This window comes from Homo sapiens, chromosome 10, assembly GCF_000001405.40.
Source record: "Homo sapiens chromosome 10, GRCh38.p14 Primary Assembly".
NCBI lineage: Eukaryota > Metazoa > Chordata > Mammalia > Primates > Hominidae > Homo > Homo sapiens.
Window position 1 is genome coordinate 110,679,848 of NC_000010.11, and position 20,133 is coordinate 110,699,980.

Below are 20,133 nucleotides of genomic sequence, written 5' to 3' on the forward strand. Positions count from 1 at the left end.
CAGACCCAGCACACAGATGGCCACAGCGGCATTCACTTGGTGATTGTCATTCACAGCTCATGCCATCTGGTGCCAGAGACGGTCGGCGGGCACCTCAATCTCAGTTTCATCCCTGGACTGACACTGCCCCTTTTAACCTGCTCTTCTCATATTTTGAGATAAGGGCACAGTAGGACAGCACTGTTTCTAAATGACTTTAAGAACAATTATTTAGGCTAATTAAAAACAATGAAACCCAGAAACTGTGAGTGGTGGCATTAGAGCCGGGAGCCGGGCACCTGTTGTCATGCAGGCTGTCCTGGGGGAGAGCAATTAGTTTGTTTGGCAAAACCACTGGAATGTTCTTGGTGGGGGCGGAAGTTCAAGTTTGGAGTGGGTGGTGGGTTTGCTCCTTGGATGTGTTGCCTCCTTCGGAGCAGATGGAGTCGAAAGAATTTTCAGAGTGGGGAGGGGTGGCACTGGCCAGGGAAGGCCCACAGGGCTGTTTTCCCTGTCTGAATGGTCCATTCATAAAATTGCCTCCTCTTTCTTCTCCTGATGGCACTGGCCACTGCCTGGTTTCCCCCATCTCAGGGGTTCGGTTCTCTCAAAGCTGGGGGAGGAGGAGCTCGGTCAGCTAAAAAGGTGGTAGGAGCCTCCTTCTCCAAGTCTCATCTGTTCTCCTGGGCTGGCATGATGGATGGCCTCGGGCTGCTGGGTTGTGTGTTCAGTGGCGAGCCAGGATTTGCCAAGGGTGTTTGGCTAGCTCGGGGACTGACACATACGGCTAACTAGCGTGGGCTGTGGTGCGCTGTCACGCAATGCGTGTCACCTGGGGGCGGGGAGGGTGCACGCCTGGGGGAGGCTGTGACCCACCTTTCATAGTGGGGCTTGGCAGGACCTTCTCCTTCACCCCAGCTTTGATGCACCTATACCAGGTTTGATCAGTAAGGTTGGAGGAAGACAGGTGCTTCTCGAGGGTCCGTTTGCTCAGCTGCTTCTTGCTGGGGACAGCTGCACCTCCATATTTCCTTCCTGTTTCTCTCGTGTGCTCCCCTCTCCCCACTCATTTCCATTTACTTCTCTTTCTTTTCCACTTCTTTCTTCTTCAGTCTGTCTCTTATTCTCTCTCTGTATTTTTGCGTAATTACAGACATGACTTGTTACATTCGTGAAAAATCTTAAGTCTGCCTGGATGGTTTCTGTCTAGGGGGCACTTGCTTGATAGAAGAGAAACAGGGGCACCTTCTTCTCGCACATTCCTCACTGACCATGCAGGGACAGCCTTTGAGCAAACAAGGGAGAGACCTCTGCAGAAGGCATTTCACTCCCTTGTCAGGGCTGTGCGAGAAGCTGGTGACAGAACTGGCCCGGAATCCCAGGGACACACTGTCTCCCCCTGCTGTTAGACCACGTCTCCTCGCAATAGGGTCTGCACCAAACCTCCTCCTGCCAACACTTCCAAGAAAATCTTCACATCCACCTATCTTTAAGGGTTAGTTTAAGCTTTGAGAAATGGCACAAGAGAGATTTAGATGTCTAATTTCATCCTCTTGTTTAGTACTTTATATTTAAGTACATGAAACCCTAAACTGTAAGGTATTTGTAAAGGCAGTATTGGTTGAGGCATGCTCTCTGCTAATCTTTTCTGCCTTCAGGTCACTGGCTTGAAGTGTCAGTGACCTTGGAATTATTTTTGCAGTTGCTTTTAAGCCCTGTAAAGACACCATTGGAAGGTTGAGGCTGGCCTAGAAATGGCAGCTGCTGCTGCTCCCCGTTAGCCTGAGGTCGGGTGAGGAGTTCATCACAATTACTGTTTAACTTTTTATTTTAAAATGATTTTAGACCTACAGAAAATTTGCAAAAATAGTGCAGAGAGTTCCTGTATGCTTTTTACCCAGCTGCACCTAGCGTTAACATCTTGGATAAGCCATGATACATTTATCACAACCAAGAAAAGAATATTGGCACACTATTAATAACCACACTACAGACATTTTTCAGATTTCAACAGTCTTTTCATTAATGTTTCCTTTTTCTTTTCCTTTTCTTTTCTGCTTTTTTTTTTGTTGTTGTTGTTGAGACAAAGTTTCGCTCTTGTTGCTCAGGTTGCAGTGCAATGGCATGATCTTGGCTCACTGCAACCTCTGCCTCCCGGGTTCAGATGATTCTCCTGCCTCAGCCTCCTGAGTAGCTGGGATTACAGTTGCCCATCACCATGCCCGGCTAATTTTTTTGTATTTTTAGTAGGGATGGGGTTTCACCATGCTGGCAAGGCTGATCTCGAACTCCTGACCTCAGGTGATCCACCCGCCTCGGCCTCCCAAAGTGCTGGGATTACAGGCGTGAGCCATCACATCTGGCCTTCACTAATGTGTTTTTCTATTTCAGGATGCAATCCAGGATCCCACCTGGCATTCGTTGTCATGTCTCCATTAGCATCCTCCAGAATATGACAGTACCTCAGTCTTTTCTTGTTTTTCATGACCTTGACATTTTTGAAGAGTATTGGTCACTTATTTTGTAGAACACAGATGGAGCCAACTTTTTCTATCTAGGGCCAGATAGTAAAGAGTTTTCGCTTTGCAGGCCACATGTTCTCTGTTGCAACTACCCACCTTTACTGTTGTGGCACAGATCAGCCTCAGACAATATGTAAATAAATGAACATGGCTGGGTCTCGGTATGACTTCATTTATGGAAACGGGCAAAGGTTCACATTTGGTCCTTGGGCTGTAATCTGCCAACTCCTGTTGTGAAAGATTCCTGGATTTGAGTTTGCCTGATGTGTCCTGATGATTAGATTGAGGTTATGTGTGTTGGAAGAAGATTCCCAAAGAGGGGATGTGCCCTTCTCAGAGCATCACTTAATTGCTTGCTTAAGGTGGTGTTAACTGTAAAGTTAAAAGCTGCTATTTTTTCTTTGTAATTAAGAATATTTCAGGGGAGCTACTGTAGGATTATGCAAATATCCTGTTTCTTTTCAAACTTTCACCTGCTAATTTTGGCATTCATCTGTGGAGCTTGCCTATAATAGTTATCATTGTCATATTCTAACAGTGATTTTCCATTTCAGTCATTCCTTCTCCATTTATTATTTGGAATTCTTCTGTAAGGAAGAGCTGTTGTTCCTTCTTCCTCGCTTGTTTATTTATCAAGTATTTATGTCAGTATGGAGTCAGATATTTCTTTTACTTTTTGGGTTATGATGATCACAATTTTTGATTGTGTCATTGATCACAATTTTTGATTGTGTCTAATTCTTGTGATCAAGAATTAGATGAGAGCAAAAAATCCAAAAGTGGTTGCTAAGTGTTGGGCTTTTTTTGTTCTCATCGAATTCTTGACCACCTTCTTGATTTCATAGTCAGCTTTATTCTAATTACAACTTTGTGGGCAGCCGGTGCCCTAAGACCTAATAGGTCTGAATTTCATGAACTTGTTAATGGCAGAAGGCAGTTTTATTTTTTGGCTCAAAGCACTGGTCAGATTTACAATTTCAATCTACAACACAGCTGGTGCTGGTTGAGTTGCAGTAAGAGTGTCCGCATTAGAGCGATTGGAGCTGGTAATTGGTTTTCATTAATTTTGTGTGCAAGAGGAGATTGGTAATGTTTTCTCGTAAATGCTAGGTCAGGTTTGCATTTTGAGAGTGGTTCCAGTTATTATCTCTCCCTATCCTCTTATTCCTTAAGAGCTTCCTTTTTGTTCTGTTATTTGTTGGGGAAGGTTATTTAAGAGTTTAAAACCTTGCTTCAGTGAAGAGTTAAAGCGAATTGAGTTTTGTAACTTTTACTTGCTCATTTCTAGATTAAATTAAAATGTCAGTCTAAATGATTTTGCCTCAATTGGAGAGCCAATCAAGACTTCCAATTCAACTTTCAAAAGCTATTTGACCTGTTTTAAAAAACAAAATGAATATGTTGAGTCAGTTTTTTAAAATAGGAGAAACTTCTATTTCTATCTACAGTTGAAATTATTCTTAAGGTAACTGTATGGAAGATTAGTGAAATGATTGATGAATGTGGCTTTTATGTTTTTGTGGGTTCTTTAGATGATTTCAGAAACTTGTAGCTCTTTGCTGGAAGATAATGGAAGAAAAAGAAAAATCAAGTTATATCCTGTGACTAAGAACAGAGTTGTATGCCTCACTCTGAAATATTTTTAATTAACTATATTTTGGGGCGGCGGGAGATGAGTAAATTCATTCAGCTCTTAAAGAAAGTCATGGAAATAATTTTTCTACAGTGTCAAGGAAAACATTGACAGACAAGAATTGTCATTTGGGATGGGCGCAGTGGCTCATGCCTGTAATCCCAGCACTTTGGGAGGCCGAGGCAGGTGGATCGCCTGAGGTCAGGAGTTCGAGACCAGCCTGGCCAGCATGATGAAACCCTTTCTCTACTAAAAATACAAAAATTAGCCGGGTGTGGTGGAGCACACCTGTAGTCCCACTACTCAGGAGGCTGAGGCAGGAGAATCGTTTGAACCCGGGAGGCAGAGGTTGCAGTGAGCCAAGATTGTGCCATTGCACTCCAGCCTGGGTGACAGAGTGAGACTCCATCTTAAAAACAAAACAAAACAAAACAAAACAAAACAAAAGAAAAAGAAAAAGAAAACAGAAATTGTCATTTGCCCAAGATATTGTTAGAACAAAACCAAACCAAAACAACACAAAAAACAACAACCAAAAAATAATATGGGGAGTTTCTGATTTGTCTTGGTACAGAATTAAAAGCCTCATAAACTACAGCTTAATTTCCACCCTCTTTAACTAAAGAAGTATGTGCTACAAAACACTGTAGAAGTTCAGGCCAGTTTCCACTCATAATGGGAAATTGCATGCAAAATTCAGGCATGCTGTTCCTACTTAACTTGTTCATCTTGCTCCATTGCAGCACTGGATGAAAAGTGAGGATTTTAATACTTTAAAAAAATTTACAAGAGAAAATCGTAGACTTTGTCACCATGTGTTTATTTCACTATCTGGGATGCAGCCTAAATAAAGTTATGAGTCAGATGTAGACCTCTTGAAGCTTGGGAGCACTCCGCCGGCCCTGCCCTGCCACCACGCACACACAAAATGTGAAGGAGACAAGTAAAGAGAACTGCTGGTGAAACAGCTGGATGATTGCGGTGGATCCTAACATCTTGAGAAGTGAATCTGTTTGCAAAAGCTTTAGCACAAGGAGAGCGATCTGCCTGAATTGCGGTAGAGAGTGTTGTTTGCGCATTTGTAAAACGAGGCGAATGACCCAGCTGTTGGCCGTAGGGGCCTTTGCTGTCCTTCCTGGGGTTTGTGGTCGCTGCCGAGGATCAGCACTTTCACACGCGACCTTACGCATTCCTTGTCATCTTGTCCTTGGCGGGCCTGTCAAAAAGAAGTTATTTTGAAAGCGTATCGCTGATTGCACATTTTATTCCATAAGTGCTCAGCGCGTTTCATGTAACTCCTGGAGGCCTCTGAGATAAGAGTGGAAAAGTGCCCTGTGCCCTTCTGAGTGGTGGGTGATCTATTTTCGACTTGGAGACTGGTGACAAAGCTGTCTTCTGTCAGGTCAGACTCGCAGGGACTTTCTTGTTTTCTGTTCCTCTGTTGACAGCTGTGCCTGTGTTCAGAATGGTCATGGGGTAGCTGGAAGATAGCTCTGGCATTTAAACACCTAGATAGGAAGGAGACGATGGAATGTATTTTTCTTTGCTATTTTGGTTAGCAAGTCCCTAGTAGTCCATACTGAGAGGGGAAGAAGCAGAGAGACCTTTGGGAGGGCGGGCAGGAAAAGATGTCCAACTTCAGGTTTAGAAGGCACAGAGGGAGTTCTACCGTTGGTATATGGTATAGGTATTTTTAATGCCTAGAAAGGGAATGGCTGGAAGGAACATGAAAAATAAAGGTTGGAATTGAGGTAGCCTTGGGCGGGAGGGTCGGGAGGTGGGTTCGGGCTAACGTGAGTAACAAGATCAGGGCAAGACTTTTTTTTTCGGTATGCTTTGTGAAACAAATTGAAACTAACACACTGAAAATTGCATTTTTATAATGCTTTTACATAATGCAGGATCTTTGTTTTAAAAGCACAGTGACGCAGGCTGACATGATAGGAGAACTTTTAAGAGACCCTTTAAATCCTCACAGGTATTTAACGTAAGCCTGAGCGTATAGCTCGGATGGGGATCAGTTTAAATGCTATATGTATTCCCAGCATCTTGCATCCACATTGAATAGCTGTGGAGCTTTGACAAGTTCTTTAATCTCACGGACCTTACTTTTCTCATCCGCAAAATGGAGCCCAGTCCATTCCTGCTTCAAAGGGCTCTTGTGAGGGCCCAAGGTACAGCGCTACATGACAATGTCGTCATGACTCTTTAAATATCCTATGAAACCTGTGATAGAAACTTGGGCTCTCACTCCCAGATCTTACTTTCCTTACTCTTTATTATTACTATTTATTTATAGTAGCTAGTGACTAATGATGAATGATTCTTCCGCTTGGCCCCCCTATAGTTAAGGTCATGGCTTCCTTCAAGAATCTGATGGAAGTATGAGCCTCCTTCCCCCGATCCCACCCCCACACAATTTAGCACAGAATGCCAGTAATTCAGTCTGAAGCCCAGTTAAAACTCTCTGATTTTAATGTGCTTTTTAAAAATGGAAATTACACATGGTAGCGCACGCCTGTAGTCCCAGCTACTTGGGAGGCTGAGACGGGAAGGTTGCTTGAGCCCAGGAGTTCAAAGGCTGCAGTGAGCTAGGATCCCACCACTGCATCCAGCCTAGGTGATGGAGCCAGATGCTGTCTCTAAAAAAAAATAATAAAATATAAATGGAAATTACAATTTTATCTAAGAGATATTTTTACAGATGTCTGGAATTTGGAAATTTCTGCTTATAGGCATTTCTATCCATCATTTATTTTTACAGTAAAAGAAATAGGCCGGGTGCAGTGACTCATGCCTGTAATCCTAGCACTTTGGGAGGCTGAGGCAGGCAGATCATTTGAGGTCAGGAGTTCGAGACCAGCCTGACCAACACGGTGAAACCCCGCCTCTACTAAAAATATAAAAATTAGCCGGGTGTGGTGGTGCATGCCTGTAGTCCCAGCTACTCGAGAGGCTGAGGCAGGAGAATTGCTTGAACCCAGGAGGCGGAGGTTGCAGTGAGCCAAGATCATGCCACTGCACTACAGCCTGGGTAACAGAGCGAGACTGTCTCAAAAAGAAAAAAAAAAAAAAAGAAAAAATTTGTGTTCCTTGTATAAGCACAGTGCTTTTCTAGTACTGTCCCAGTTCAGCTGCCTATGGCAAGATTGTAAACTATGAAAAGTAAGAATGTAAATTAAACACAGTGAAAAGCTGAGTCATATGGTAATGTCTAGAAAAGTAGTAAGATACTAAAAGTATGTAAGTCAAAGAGGCCCAAATTATATTTTCCTTTCCATCCTTAAAATGTCATAGCTAACTAGAGGGTTAACATTTTTTAAGTGCTGAGTCCAATCAATGTGATTTAAATCATCCATGATATATTCATAGCTGAATGATTAAGTTGGATGATGTGACAAAACACTTAACTTGTATTTATGGTCATTGATGATTTTACGCATTATTAGAGAGAAGCATAGTTACACCCAATTAAATATAGACATCTGATCCAGACATCAGTTCTGTAATTTCATGGGAAAAAGTAAATCTAAACGAGCAAAAAATGTCTGGGTATTAACTCCAGTCTGATGGTATTACAAGTTTTCCCAGTTAATTAGTAACACATATTATAGAACAAATGTTTGAAACAGAAATCTCGTGATTTTGCGTAACAAACCAGGAGTTGAGCTGGAAGTCTCTGTTCTCCCACTGCGTTGCTGTGTGACCTTGGGCAAGTCACTTGACCATTGTCCACCTGTGATACAGGGGATGTGACTACATATCTCGAATGAGAAAAGACTTCTTCCCATGTTAACATGTTTTGACTTTACATCAATTGTGTCATTGCTGCTTTTTTAAAAATGTTGCATCAACATTTACGATACATATAAAAAAGGTACACAAATTTTAAGTGCATAGCTCATTGAATGTTTACTCTTCTAACCAGCTCCTAGATTAAGAAATAAAACATCAACATCCTAGAAGTCCTCCTTGTCCTTCCTCTGGGTCATGAGTGCTACTCCTAAATGGTTTTGTGTGTGTGTGTGTGTGTGTGTGTGTGTGTGTGTGTGTGTATGTGTGTGTATGTGTTTTAAAAAGGAGAGAGAGAAATAATGAGTTGATAATTTTTAGAAATTTGGTGGTCTAACAAATTAAAAATCAAATATTATTCATTTGGAATCCTAATAATCCAGTCCACAATTCCTTATCTGCAGTTTTGAAATACAAATAGCTCTGAAAACAGAGAGGTTTTTCTTAAAGTTTTGAGCAAAAGTATTTGGCAACAAAATCTGACTTGATAGGATGAGAGGCTGTTTGCAGTCTTTATTTTTAATCTCACATAGTGTGACTATTTATGCATTTTACTCAAGAAATGTTCATGTGTTTAATGCTATGGTTCTGGCCTGGACTCTACTGGGTTCAAAGTCTAGCACATGCATCATACTTGTTTGTTTTTCAAAATAAAAAAGATTCTAAATTTCACCAAATTTGGCCCTAAGGATTTCGGATTCATACCACAACATAATTGTTTACACGTTGATGTCCCAACATTTTTACTGCTTAGATTTGTATGATTTTTATCTGAAAAGTAAAGCAGATATAGTTCTAGTTAACTGCTTGGTGCATTATCAAACATCCTTCTTCCAATCCTGCATTTAAAAAAAAAGCACTGTTACTTTGCAATAATTTTAGATTTACTAAAAAAGCTACAAATCAAGCACATAGAGTTTCCCTAACTTCCCCTAATGTCAATACCTTACATAACCATGGTACATTTTTCAAAACTAAAACATTATTAATGTTGGTACAATACTATTAACAAACTATGGACATTATTCAGATTTCTTCAGTTTTCCCACCAATGTCCTTTTTCTGTTTCATGATCCTACCCAGGATCCAACATGGCATTTAGTTATCATTTCTTCTTAGTCTTCCCCAGCCTATAATAGCTTCTCTGTCTTTCCTGTTTTTTTTTTTAATCTCCTTTACAGTTTTGAAGAATAATAGGATCTTATAGAATGGCTTTTAGGCATTTTTTTGTTTGTTTGCATGTATTTTAAAGTTTTTAAAAATTAAACTTTGTATTTTGAAATAATTCTACATTCACCTGCTGTTGTATGAAATAATATAGAAGGACCCTGTGTACCCTTTATTCCGTTTCCCCCAATGGCAACATCTTGAAAACCATCACCTGATATCATAACCAGGATATTGACATTGATAGAATCAAGATCAGTAGATCCTCCAACCAACTCAACTCTTGCACTCCCTTGGTTCAGCACGTGCTGACTGGGGCCTCCCATGAGTCAGGCTCTGCTGGAGGCCTGGGGACACAGGGGTGAGTGAGAGACAAAACCTGCCCTCATGGAGCTTAGCTTCTAGGAAACAGACATAGCAAGTAAACACATGCACAAACAGTATAATGTCAGCTAATGAGTGCTATGAGGAAAAATCAATCAGACTAAGGACTCAGAGAAAGTTGGAAATCCATGGGCCAGCCTTCCCTTTCAGCTCTATTGGCCGGAGCTCAGGGGCAGGTGCCTGCTTTTGATGGGAGAAAATATCAGTAACAGTTTAATTGGTGTTTTACAGTTCCATCATGTATAACTATTTTATATCTTTGTTGGAAATCCACACGGTTGTTCTGTGCTGGTAGTGCGGGTCTTTAAAAATCTAGGGAGTTTGTTTGTTGGGAAATTCCGTGGAAAGCCTTGTTTCCGATGCTTCTAGTCCCACAGTGTAGAGTCCCTCCTGTTGGTGATGGCATTTTGTACATTTAGTGACAATTGGCATAGAGTATAAAGCCTTTTACAAGTCTAAAGTAGCAGTGTTTCTATTTCTTGGTATTCTTCATATCATCAAGAAGCTGTGACAAAATCAGAGAGGTAGAAGCCAGGGAAGATTCTGGATTGCATATATTTAGATGGGCTTTTCATCTGATTGTCAATTTGTGTCACTCATAAAAGAGATATCTTAATTTTAAGTGCTTCCAGAAAATGGGAATGAAACAATGCTTAAATAGGGCCTTCAGATCAATTTATGGAATGATATCAGTTATCTTAAAAACCCTGGAAATGAGTGATTTAAAATAAACAACTATGGCCTTTTTTTATTGTGGTTAAATAGATACATAACCTAACTATTTTTAATTGTACAATTTGACTAGGCATGGTGGCACACACCTGTAATCCCAGCACTTTGGGAAGCTGAGGCTGGAGGATTGCTTGACGCTGGGAGTTTTAGACCAGCCTGGGCAACACAGTGAGCCCTCCTGTCTACTAAAAAAATTTAAATTAGCTGGGTGTGGTGGTGTGTGCCTGTAGTTCCAGCTACTTGAGAGGCTGAGGCAGGAGGATCGCTTAAGCCTAGGAATTTGAGGTTGCAGTGAGCTGTGATAGTGCCACTGCATTCCAGGTTGTGCAATAGAGCAAGACCCTGTCTCAAAAAAAAACAAAAAAACAAAACCTGTACAATTCACTGACATTAAATAGGTTCACAAAGTTGTTTAACCACCCACACTATTTCCTTAACTTTTTCATCACCCAAACAGAAACTCTCTACCCATTAAACAAAACTCCCCATGTCCCTCTTCCCCCAGCTCCTGCTAACCTCTAGGCTACTTTCTGTCTCTATGAATTTGCCTATTTTAGGTATCTCATATAAGTAAAACCATACAATATTTGTCCTTTTTGTCTGGCTTATTTCATTTAGCATCGTGTTTTCAAGGATCATTCATACTGTAGCATGTATCAAAATTGTATTCCTTTTTATGGCTGAATAAAATATACTTTGTAAGTACAATATACGTATATATCACATTTTAGTTATCCATTCATCTGTTGATGGCCAGAAGCATCGTTTTCACCTTTTGGCTATTGTGAATAATGCTTCCATGAATGTTGGTGTACAAATATTTGAGTCCTTGCTGGACTTGAAAGACCTGAGTCAATACTTTTGGGCATATACCTAGGAACAGAATTGCTGGATCTTATGTGTTATGGACTGAATGTTTATGTCCCCTCAAAATTCATATGTTGAGATACTAACCCCCCATGTGATGGTATTAGGAGATGAGGTCTTTGGGAGGCTGTGGAGCCCTCTTGAATGGGATTAGTATCCTTATGAGAAGAGACACGAAAGAGCTTGCTCTTGCTCTTGCTCTCTACCCATACCATGTGAGGATAGTAGGAGAATACAGTCCCAAGTTAGAAGGAGTGCTTTCACCAGACACCAGATCTGCCAGTGCCCTGATCTTGGACTTCCCAGCCTTCAGAACTGTAAGAAGTAAATGTGCGTGTTCAAGCAACCTGGTCTATGGCAATTTGTTATAGCACCTCGAATTGACTAAGAAAATATGATAATTCTGTGGTTAGCTTTTGAGGAACTGCCAAACTGTTTCCCACAGTGGCTGAACCATTTTATGTTCCCACCAGCAATGCAAGAGGATTCCAATATCTCTACATTCTCAAACACACTTGTTATTTTGTTTGTTTTTATTATGGCCATCCTAGTAGGTGTGAAGTAGTATCTCATTGTAGTTTTGATTTGCATTGCTCTAATGACCAATGAGGTTGAGCATCTTTTCATGTGCTTATTGGACACTTGTATATCTTCTTTAGAGAAATATCTGTTCAAGTCCTTTACCTGTTTTTGAATTGAATTTTTTGTTGTTGTTGAACTGTAGAATTTCTTTATGTATTCAGAATATAACCCTTTATCAAGCATATGATTTGCATATATTTTCTTCCACTCTGTGTGTTGTCTTTTTACTCTCTTGATAGTGTCCTTTAATGCATGAAAGTTTTTAATTTTTATGAACTTCAATTTATTTCTTTTTTCTTTTATTGCCTGCGCCTTTTGTGTCATACCCAAGAAGTCATTGCCAAATCCAATGTTACGAAGCATTCCCCATATGTTTTCTTCTAAGAATTTTATCGTGTAAACTGTAGTTTATAATCTCAAGTTCTGGTCTTTGATTCCTTTTTGCATATTGTGTAAGGATCCAACTTCATTATTTTGCATGTGGATACCCAGTTTTCCCAGCACCATTTGTTGAAAAGACTGTGCTTTCCCCATTGAATGGCCTTGGTACACCTGTTGAAAATTGATCATATATGTAAAGATTTTTTTTTCTGGGTTCTCTATTGTATTCTACTGCTCTATGTCTGTCCTTATGCCAGTACCACACTCTTTTGATTACTGTAGCTTTGTAGTTAGTTTTGAAATCAGGAGGTATACATTTCCCAACTTTGTTCCTCTTTTTCAAGATTTCTTTGGCTATTTGGGATTTGTCCCTTAAGATTCCATGTGAAGTTTAGGATAAATTTTTCTATTTCTGAAAATAATGTTATTGGGATTTTGATAGGAATTACATTCAATTTGTAGGTCACTTACAATATTAAGTCTACCAATCCATGAACATGGAATGTCTTTCCACTTATTTTATCTTCTTTGAGTTTATTCAGCAATGCTTTGTAGTTTTCAGTGTAGAAGCCTTTCATCTCCTTGCTTTATTCCTAGTTTATTCTTTTTGATGCTATTATAAATGAAATTGTTTTCATAATTTTCTTTATGGATTGTTAATTACTAGTGTGTAAAAATGCAACTGATTTTATGAGTTGATATTGTATCCTGCATCTTTGCTATTTGTTTATGAGCTATAACCATTGTGTGTGTGTGTGTAACTTGAGGGTTTTCTACATATAAAACCATGTCATTTGCAAACAGAAATAGTTTGACTTCTTCCTTCTCAATTTGAATGCTTTTCATTTCTTTGTCTTGCCTAATTGCCCTGTTTAGAACTTCTAGTATTATGTTGAATAGAAGTGGAGAAAGCAAGCATTCTTATCTTGCTTCTGGTATTAGGAGAAAACTTGCAGTTTTTTGTTTTGTTTTGTTTTGTTTTACCATTGAGTATGATGTTAGCTGTAGGTTTGTTGTATCTAACCTTTATCATGCTGAGGAAGTTTTTTCTTCCATTCCTAGTTTATTGAGTGTTATTGTCATAAAAAGGTGTTGAATTTTGTCAAATGCTTTTTTGACATCGATTAGATGCTCATGAGGTTTTCCTTTTTATTTTGTTAATGTGGTATATTACATTGACTAATTTTTTTATATTGAACTATCTTTGCATTCTGTGAATGAATCCCACTTGGTCATAGTGTATAATTCTTTAAATATGCTGCTGAATTTGGTTTGCAAGTATTTTGTTGAGGATTTTTGCATCATATTCATAATGGATGTTGTTCTATCATTTTTCTTTTCTTGTACTGTTTTTGTCATGCTTTGGTATCAGGATTATATTAGCCTCATAGAATATGTAGGAAATGTTTTCTTCTCATCAAATTTTTGGAAGAGTTTGAGAAAGATTGGTGTTAATTCTTCTTTAAATGTTTGGTAGAATTTACCAGTGAAGCTATCTGGTCCAGGGATTTTCTTTGTTAGGAGGTTTTTGATTACTGATTCAATCTCCTTATTTGTTATCGGTCTTTTCATATTTTCTACTTCTTCATGGGTCAGTTTTGGTAGATTGTATCTTTCTAGGCATTCGTCCATTTCAAACGTGACCATTCTAAACTAAACTGTTGGCAAATTTGTTACTACTGTCTGTTTTATTGAATTACTTTCTTGTCTTAGAGTGAAACTCTCATTTTAAATGACATGTTATTTCTTTCCAAGGTAAAGTACCAAGGAACATGAGGCTTTTGCTTGTATATATGATTGTTAATGTGTATTCAATTTTTGCCAAATATTTAATAAAATATTTTACTATATGTCTTTTGACTCATTAAAAGTGGGAAATCTCATTTGTGTATAAGATTATCAGGCTATATAAAAATGATTCCAACATACCAGAGACATAGTTTAGATTACAGGGCCTCTGTGGAGTTTTTGGTAAAATATCATTATTGACTCACAATTATCCTCACTCTTGGTAAACTGACTGCTTTTATATGGTCCTTAGCCCATTTAATTTGTGTAGCAGAATGAACCAGTGTTATATTTGGCTCAAATTTAAATTTCTCCATTTTCTTATCAGACACTGGGTCAGAGAGAGCTAAGAGAAGCAACCAGCATCAGTGGGGCACAAGAGCTTTGTGACTTTCCTGTGTGCTTCTACCTGGTCTTCAGGATGGGTGTTTCCTGGTAGACAGTCATTCATGCAACAAGCATTTGCTGCCCTCTACCAAGCACCGTCTTAACCATAGGTATCCCAACCATGCAGAACACAGAAGCGCACAAAGCAGACAACTCCCTGTGCTTTGGGAGAACCAATGAACCCAATGAACCGAATGAAACCAAAGCCAAAAGGCAGCCTTGATCCCCCAAAAGAAATTGATTCTGTAACCCAAATTGTAAAGTTTAGAGCTTTGTATTTTTGTCCTATTAAAGAACTGAATTCATTCTCAGGCACTGCCATCTTTGTTGGGGCTGGGCTAGCTCTTATGTCAAAAGCTTGAGCAGCCACTTTTAAGAGGAAGGGGACTACGATGATGCAGTCAGTAAATTTGTGCATGGCCTTGGAAACCTTCCAGAATTGTAAGTGAAAGCTGATATTCTCTCCACAGAAGAAAATATAGCAAAATGGGAATCTAACCATTTCATTGGAACAGGAGATTGGACTCAAGTTACTAATACAGGAAAAGGCAAGTAGAGAAGGGTTGAGGTTTGAATTCTGAGCAGTTCTGCTTGAGGTGCAGAGCTGATGATGGTTTGGGTTAAGATAGCAATTTCCAAACCACAGCCCTCTTGCTAACAGCAAACTGGATTATACCATAAGAAGGCAACTAGTTCAGTTAGAACATACCTTAGTATTACATTTTAATCAGACACCACAAGGAGCTGACTGACGTTTAACTCCAGAGTTGTAACAATTTTGAATTGTTGAATTCAAAATTCAACAATTTTGAATTTTGCCCAAATTTAGGAAAGAATTGGAGTAAGTCAGGCTAGTGGCCTCCTATAGCAAGTCAGGAAAGATATACTAGCAGAGTATAGTGTCATGTCTGTGGTTCAAAGGTTGTGTCCTTACCTCTTGAGTTACATTTTGATTGACAGGGCAAAACTGAATTTTTCAGATATTGTCACTTCAAAGGATTCTTAAAACTCTGCCACAGGATTGATTTTTGTTACGATATCGTCAGGCAGTGAGTGAGATGACATCCTGAGGTGCTGAAATCCTTAAGTTTTCTGGCCCCTGCTGAGTGGATGACCCAAAGACCCCTGCAGTTTAACTGAGGTGTTTATTCATCTGCAGACTGGAAGCCAAGGATTGGAAATTTAACATGAAATAAATAATTAAACCTCACTTCCACAGGTGCAGAGGGCATAAATAATCTAACTGCATGCTGCCCAGGCATTCCATAGCATGGGCCATTTAGATTTAATGCCCAGGCACTCACTTGTAACTGAATATGTCGGAAGGTGGCTCCTGCCTGGGATGGGAACGGGTGCTATTTCAGAGCAGTGTGTTTGTCTGTCTGCTGGAAAGCTGCCTCCACCCTCAGACTCTTCTGGAGACCCTTTGCTGTCTTGGACTCCAGGGGAAATGTGTCCGCCCCTTGCCCAGCCCAGAGTACGAAATCTACAACCAACTCCTCTTCTGGTTAAACAAAGGAGGTGATGTATTGAAGAGAGGCCCAAGAGAAATGATTCATTTCATCAGAAATGTTTGGAGAAACAGATGAGTTCGCTGATGGGAGTGGACTTCACACACTTTGTTCTCAGAGTCATGAGTTTGAACCTGAGATCATTTGAGCATTGGGAAGTGGCTGAAAGTGGGTGTCATTTTCTGCTTTAACAGCAAATCTTGTGACAGGCACTGAGAGGTAGCAATCCATTTTCTGGTGACCAAGGGTAAGGATGCAACTACTAGTTCTAATTATGTCTGCATCACTTACATGGCTTTGCACACAGTACAAATGTAATAAAAATTTGTTAAACGAGTCACTGAAAGAACACTGATGCATTGTGATATTTTGTTCTTCCTAATAGTGGTCTTGCCTGAGCCAGTGTCACTCACAGTGGAGGTCCCTGGACCAGCAGCATCAGCATCTACTTAGGAATGCAAATTCTCAGGCCCTGTTCCAGAGCCAATCAGTCTCCTTAGTGGGCCCAGGAATCTGTTTTTAACAAAGCCTCTGGTGATTCTGATGCCTGCGGAAGCGTGAGCCACACTGGGCTAGAGTTTCTTTGGCCAGGGAAGTGATTTAAGAATTGTACGCATCCTTATTTCCTCTCCTCAGTAGGAAGTCACCATAGCTGGTTGCAAGAGAATCGCATTTTAAATCTTTAGATGTACATGTCCCCAACCCTACTCCCCCAGGACTTCTTACCCAGGACTCAGCTAGTCCCCTGGCTTTTTTTTCTCTCCAGATCTCATGTTTCCAGATTCTGTGCTCAGTCACTTCTTGGGAAATACAGATGGGGTTGGGAGGGAGGCATCCTCCCCTTTGCTGATTGCTGGAGGGGATTGAGCTGTCACGTCAGACCTCTGCTGAATGCCCACTGTGTGCAATGCCTGCACCACAGTGAGCAGTGCACAGTCCTCATCCCCAGGACCTCAGAAACTCCAAGGGTGGCAGACCTTGGAAGTGATGAAGGTGGGGATGAAGTGGCACTCACTGGGCTGGATCTAGGAGCACCCAGATGGGCCAAGCGCAACCGTGGGCTGGGGTGGAGTAGGAGGGCTTCCTGGAGGAAGTACTGCCTGGGCCATGGCTGATAGGGCAAGTGAGTGGCAGCAGGGTAAAGAGAGGGAGAGCCAAAGGGAATTTGAGGCTGAAGGAGCAGCACAGCTTAAAGCACACTCTGGAGAGGGTTTCGTCCAACTCTGGGGGACCTTTTTTGCTTTTTATGTTACTAGATATAGTAAAGTCTGCAACTCTTACTTTTACAGCTTGATGAATTCTCAAATGTGTGCTCATCCCTGTTACCACCACACAGACCAAAAGACTGGAGATTTCCAGCCTCCCAAAAGGGAGCCCATCCACAGCTCCCTGCCACCAAAGGCAACCCCCATTCTTACCTCTGTCATCATAGATTAGTTTTGTTGGGGACTTTTTTAGACTATCCACTTCTTAAGGAAAAAAACTTATCCTGTAGAGCCAAAGATGGCTCAGGCTTGATATGACTTTGAGTTATGTGTTTTGTTTGGTCTATGCAGAATTTTTTTTTTAAGCTCATTGCTCAGATTTAAAAGTTGGGGGATTTCACACAACAAAAGCCCAACAACACTGGGCTCGTGAACCTCAGCAGCAGTGCTGGGCTGTAGTCAGGTAGGAACCGTCCCCCTGAAGATGGGTGTCCATGCGTCAGTATCCCTGGCTGTTCCCCACTGCTCACTCCTAGCCAGCTGCACTTTTGTTACTTGCCTGGCCCACTTGGGCTTGGCCCATGAGTTTTCAATCCCTGCCTTTAAATATGGTTTTGTTTCTTAGTTTGGGGCCTCCTGCATGACTGAGGGTGCTTAGTAATTTCCTTGGTTCACTCTTCAGTGTGTATTGAGCACTAACTATGAGCCAGGCCCATGCCAAGAGCTGGGATACAGAGGTGTGCCCAGGCAGAGGGATTGAGGTATTGTTTGTTGTTTGCCATGCAGGCAGCCAGAAATGTGGCACAGTCCTACCTGCATGAGTTCACTTCTCACCACCTCCTTGGATGCCACCCATGCTGGTTGTTTCCTGGCCCCTGAGCCCACCTTGTTTCATGATCATCACACATCCACTGTCACTATCCCTTCATTTCCTCCCTGTCTGGTCCTCATCCTTCCCTCAAGCTTTTGCTCAAGTCTCACCTCTTCCAAGAAGTCTTCACTGACCAGCCCTTTCTCTTGTGATGCCTCCCTCCCCTGATTTTATCAGCGTATTCCCCACACCACAATCCCATCAATTCTCAATTATTTATTCCCTCACATTGAAGAAACAGGGGCCTTGTTTCTTTTTTTTTTTCTTTTTTTTTTTTGAGACTGAGTCTCACTCTGTCGCCCGGGCTGGAGTGCAGTGGTGCGATGTCGGCTCACTGCAAGCTCCACCTCCCGGCTTCACGCCATTCTCCTGCCTCAGCCTCCCGAGTAGCTGGGACTACAGGCGCCCACCAACACGCCCGGCTAATTTTTTTGTATTTTTAGTAGAGACGGGGTTTTACTGTGTTAGCCAGGATAGTCTCGATCTCCTGACCTCATGATCCGCCCACCTCGGCCTCCCAAAGTGCTGGGATTACAGGCGTGAGCCACCGCGCCCGGCCCTTGTTTCTTATATTAGTTATCACAGGCCCTATGGGCAAAGACTTCCCCTATACTTCCCAGCATTGCTCCAGCATGCCCTGCACAGTTCTGAGCTTATGGCAGATACCCAGGACACACAGGAGGTGGGCTGGGAAGGGCAGGGGAGCACCGGAAAAAGAGGCTGTGATGGCGGCCCCTGGGGAGGCCAGAAGGAGAGCACCAGGAGTTGCCCTCGCTGGCAGGAGCCTGGCAGGAACCCTGCCTGTCCTTGAGGGCCCATCTTCCTTGCAAGAGTGTTGACACCCTGTGAGGAGGGTGCAGAAACTCCAGCCACAGGGCCACAGACGTTCTGGACAGTGTCATGTGAGGTGGCATTGGAGCTTCTCCTCTTACAGCCTGACAGAGTGTCCCTTGGGGTGGCAGGTTCATTGAAGACAGCGTGGAACTGGATACAGAAGGTGTCATTTTGATGGCCATTCCTTCAGCTTTATGCCATGCTCCATAGACAGCCTAGGGTACCCCTCTCTGTCCCACTTTTAGTTCCTCAGTGATACAGATTGCTAAAGGCAACTCAATTGCAAATAGCCCCGCACCATGTGACACTGCCTCCTTGAAAAGTACTTCAGATGCTGGCAGAGGATGGTGACCTTTCAGTGGTATATGCCTGCTCTCAGCCCAGCCAGACAGACCACTGCCACAGAGGTGGGAGAGGCAAGAAGAGCCTTTAACTTAAGGGCACTTGGCAAAGGGCTGTCTCATTTGCTAGGGTTCTGTTATATGTCACTTGGTGTGCAAGCTTCCAAGAACTACTTGGCTTCCTGACAGGGAACATGATAGAATGTCAGGACCTAAGCTAATGTAAAATATGCTTTGGCCAGCCAAGTCATGCACAGGCAATGCAAGAAGCCATTGGTCGTTCACACGTCTGCGCCATGTTAGACGGGGGCTCCACTGATGGACTTAACCTTTCCAGACCCACGTGATGATGGAGATCCGGCAGGCAGTGGCTTCTTACTCAAGGCATGCTGATTTTGAAAAGTATGAGGGCATCTTTAAAAAAAAAAAGTGCATTCTTTTTTTTTTTTTTTTTCCTGAGACGGAGTCTTACTCTTGCTCTGTCTCCCAGGCTGGAGTGCAGTGGTGCAATCTCGGCTCACTGCAATGTTTGCCTCCTCCTGGGTTCAAGTGATTCTCATGCCTGAGTCTCCCAAATAGCTGAGATTACAGGCGCTGACCACCACGCCTGGCTAATTTTTGTATTTTTAGTAGAGATGGGGTTTCACCATGTTGGTCAAGCTAGTTTTGAACTCCTGACCTCAGATGATCTGCCTACCTCAGCCACAAAAAGTGCTGAGATTACAGGTGTGAGCCACTGCACACAGCCGTTTAAAAAAACAAAACAACAACAAAAAACAAAAAAAACCAAACCTGCATTCTTAAAGGGTACTTGTTTCCTGTCGCTCTTTTTTCCTTTATACGGTGGTCCCCCCTTATCCATGGAGGATATGTTCCAAGACCCTCAGTGGATACCTGAAACTGCAAATAGTACTGAACCCTATATATATATACTATGTTTTTTTCCTATACATAACATGCCTATGATAAGGTTTAATTTATAAATTAGGCACAGTACTCTTGTGCGTTGGGGCCATTATGAAGCGAAATAAGGATGTCTTGATCACACGCACTGCCGTATCATCACCGTTTATCCTATCATTGAGGTGGCTACTAAATGACTTGCGGGTGGGAAGTATAGACAGCATGTATATGCTGGACAAAAAGGTGATTCACGT

The 20,133-nt window shown here is 41.7% G+C and overlaps 1 protein-coding gene across 2 annotated transcripts in view, besides 2 other annotated features; it reads left to right on the plus strand.

Moving 5' to 3' along the window:
• RBM20 (RNA binding motif protein 20) overlaps positions 1–20,133 on the plus strand; it is a 196,224-nt gene that overhangs the window by 36,603 nt on the left and 139,488 nt on the right. The window lies entirely within an intron of this gene.
• Positions 4,723–5,254: an enhancer, noted in NCBI's record as "NANOG-H3K27ac-H3K4me1 hESC enhancer chr10:112444328-112444859 (GRCh37/hg19 assembly coordinates)". NCBI's record gives its function as "activates a minimal SCP1, AML or CMV promoter by ChIP-STARR-seq in naive H9 embryonic stem cells {active_cell/tissue: H9 hESC(naive)}" and the evidence as "EXISTENCE:reporter gene assay evidence [ECO:0000049][PMID:30033119]".
• Positions 18,460–18,959: an enhancer, noted in NCBI's record as "H3K4me1 hESC enhancer chr10:112458065-112458564 (GRCh37/hg19 assembly coordinates)". NCBI's record gives its function as "activates a minimal SCP1, AML or CMV promoter by ChIP-STARR-seq in naive H9 embryonic stem cells {active_cell/tissue: H9 hESC(naive)}" and the evidence as "EXISTENCE:reporter gene assay evidence [ECO:0000049][PMID:30033119]".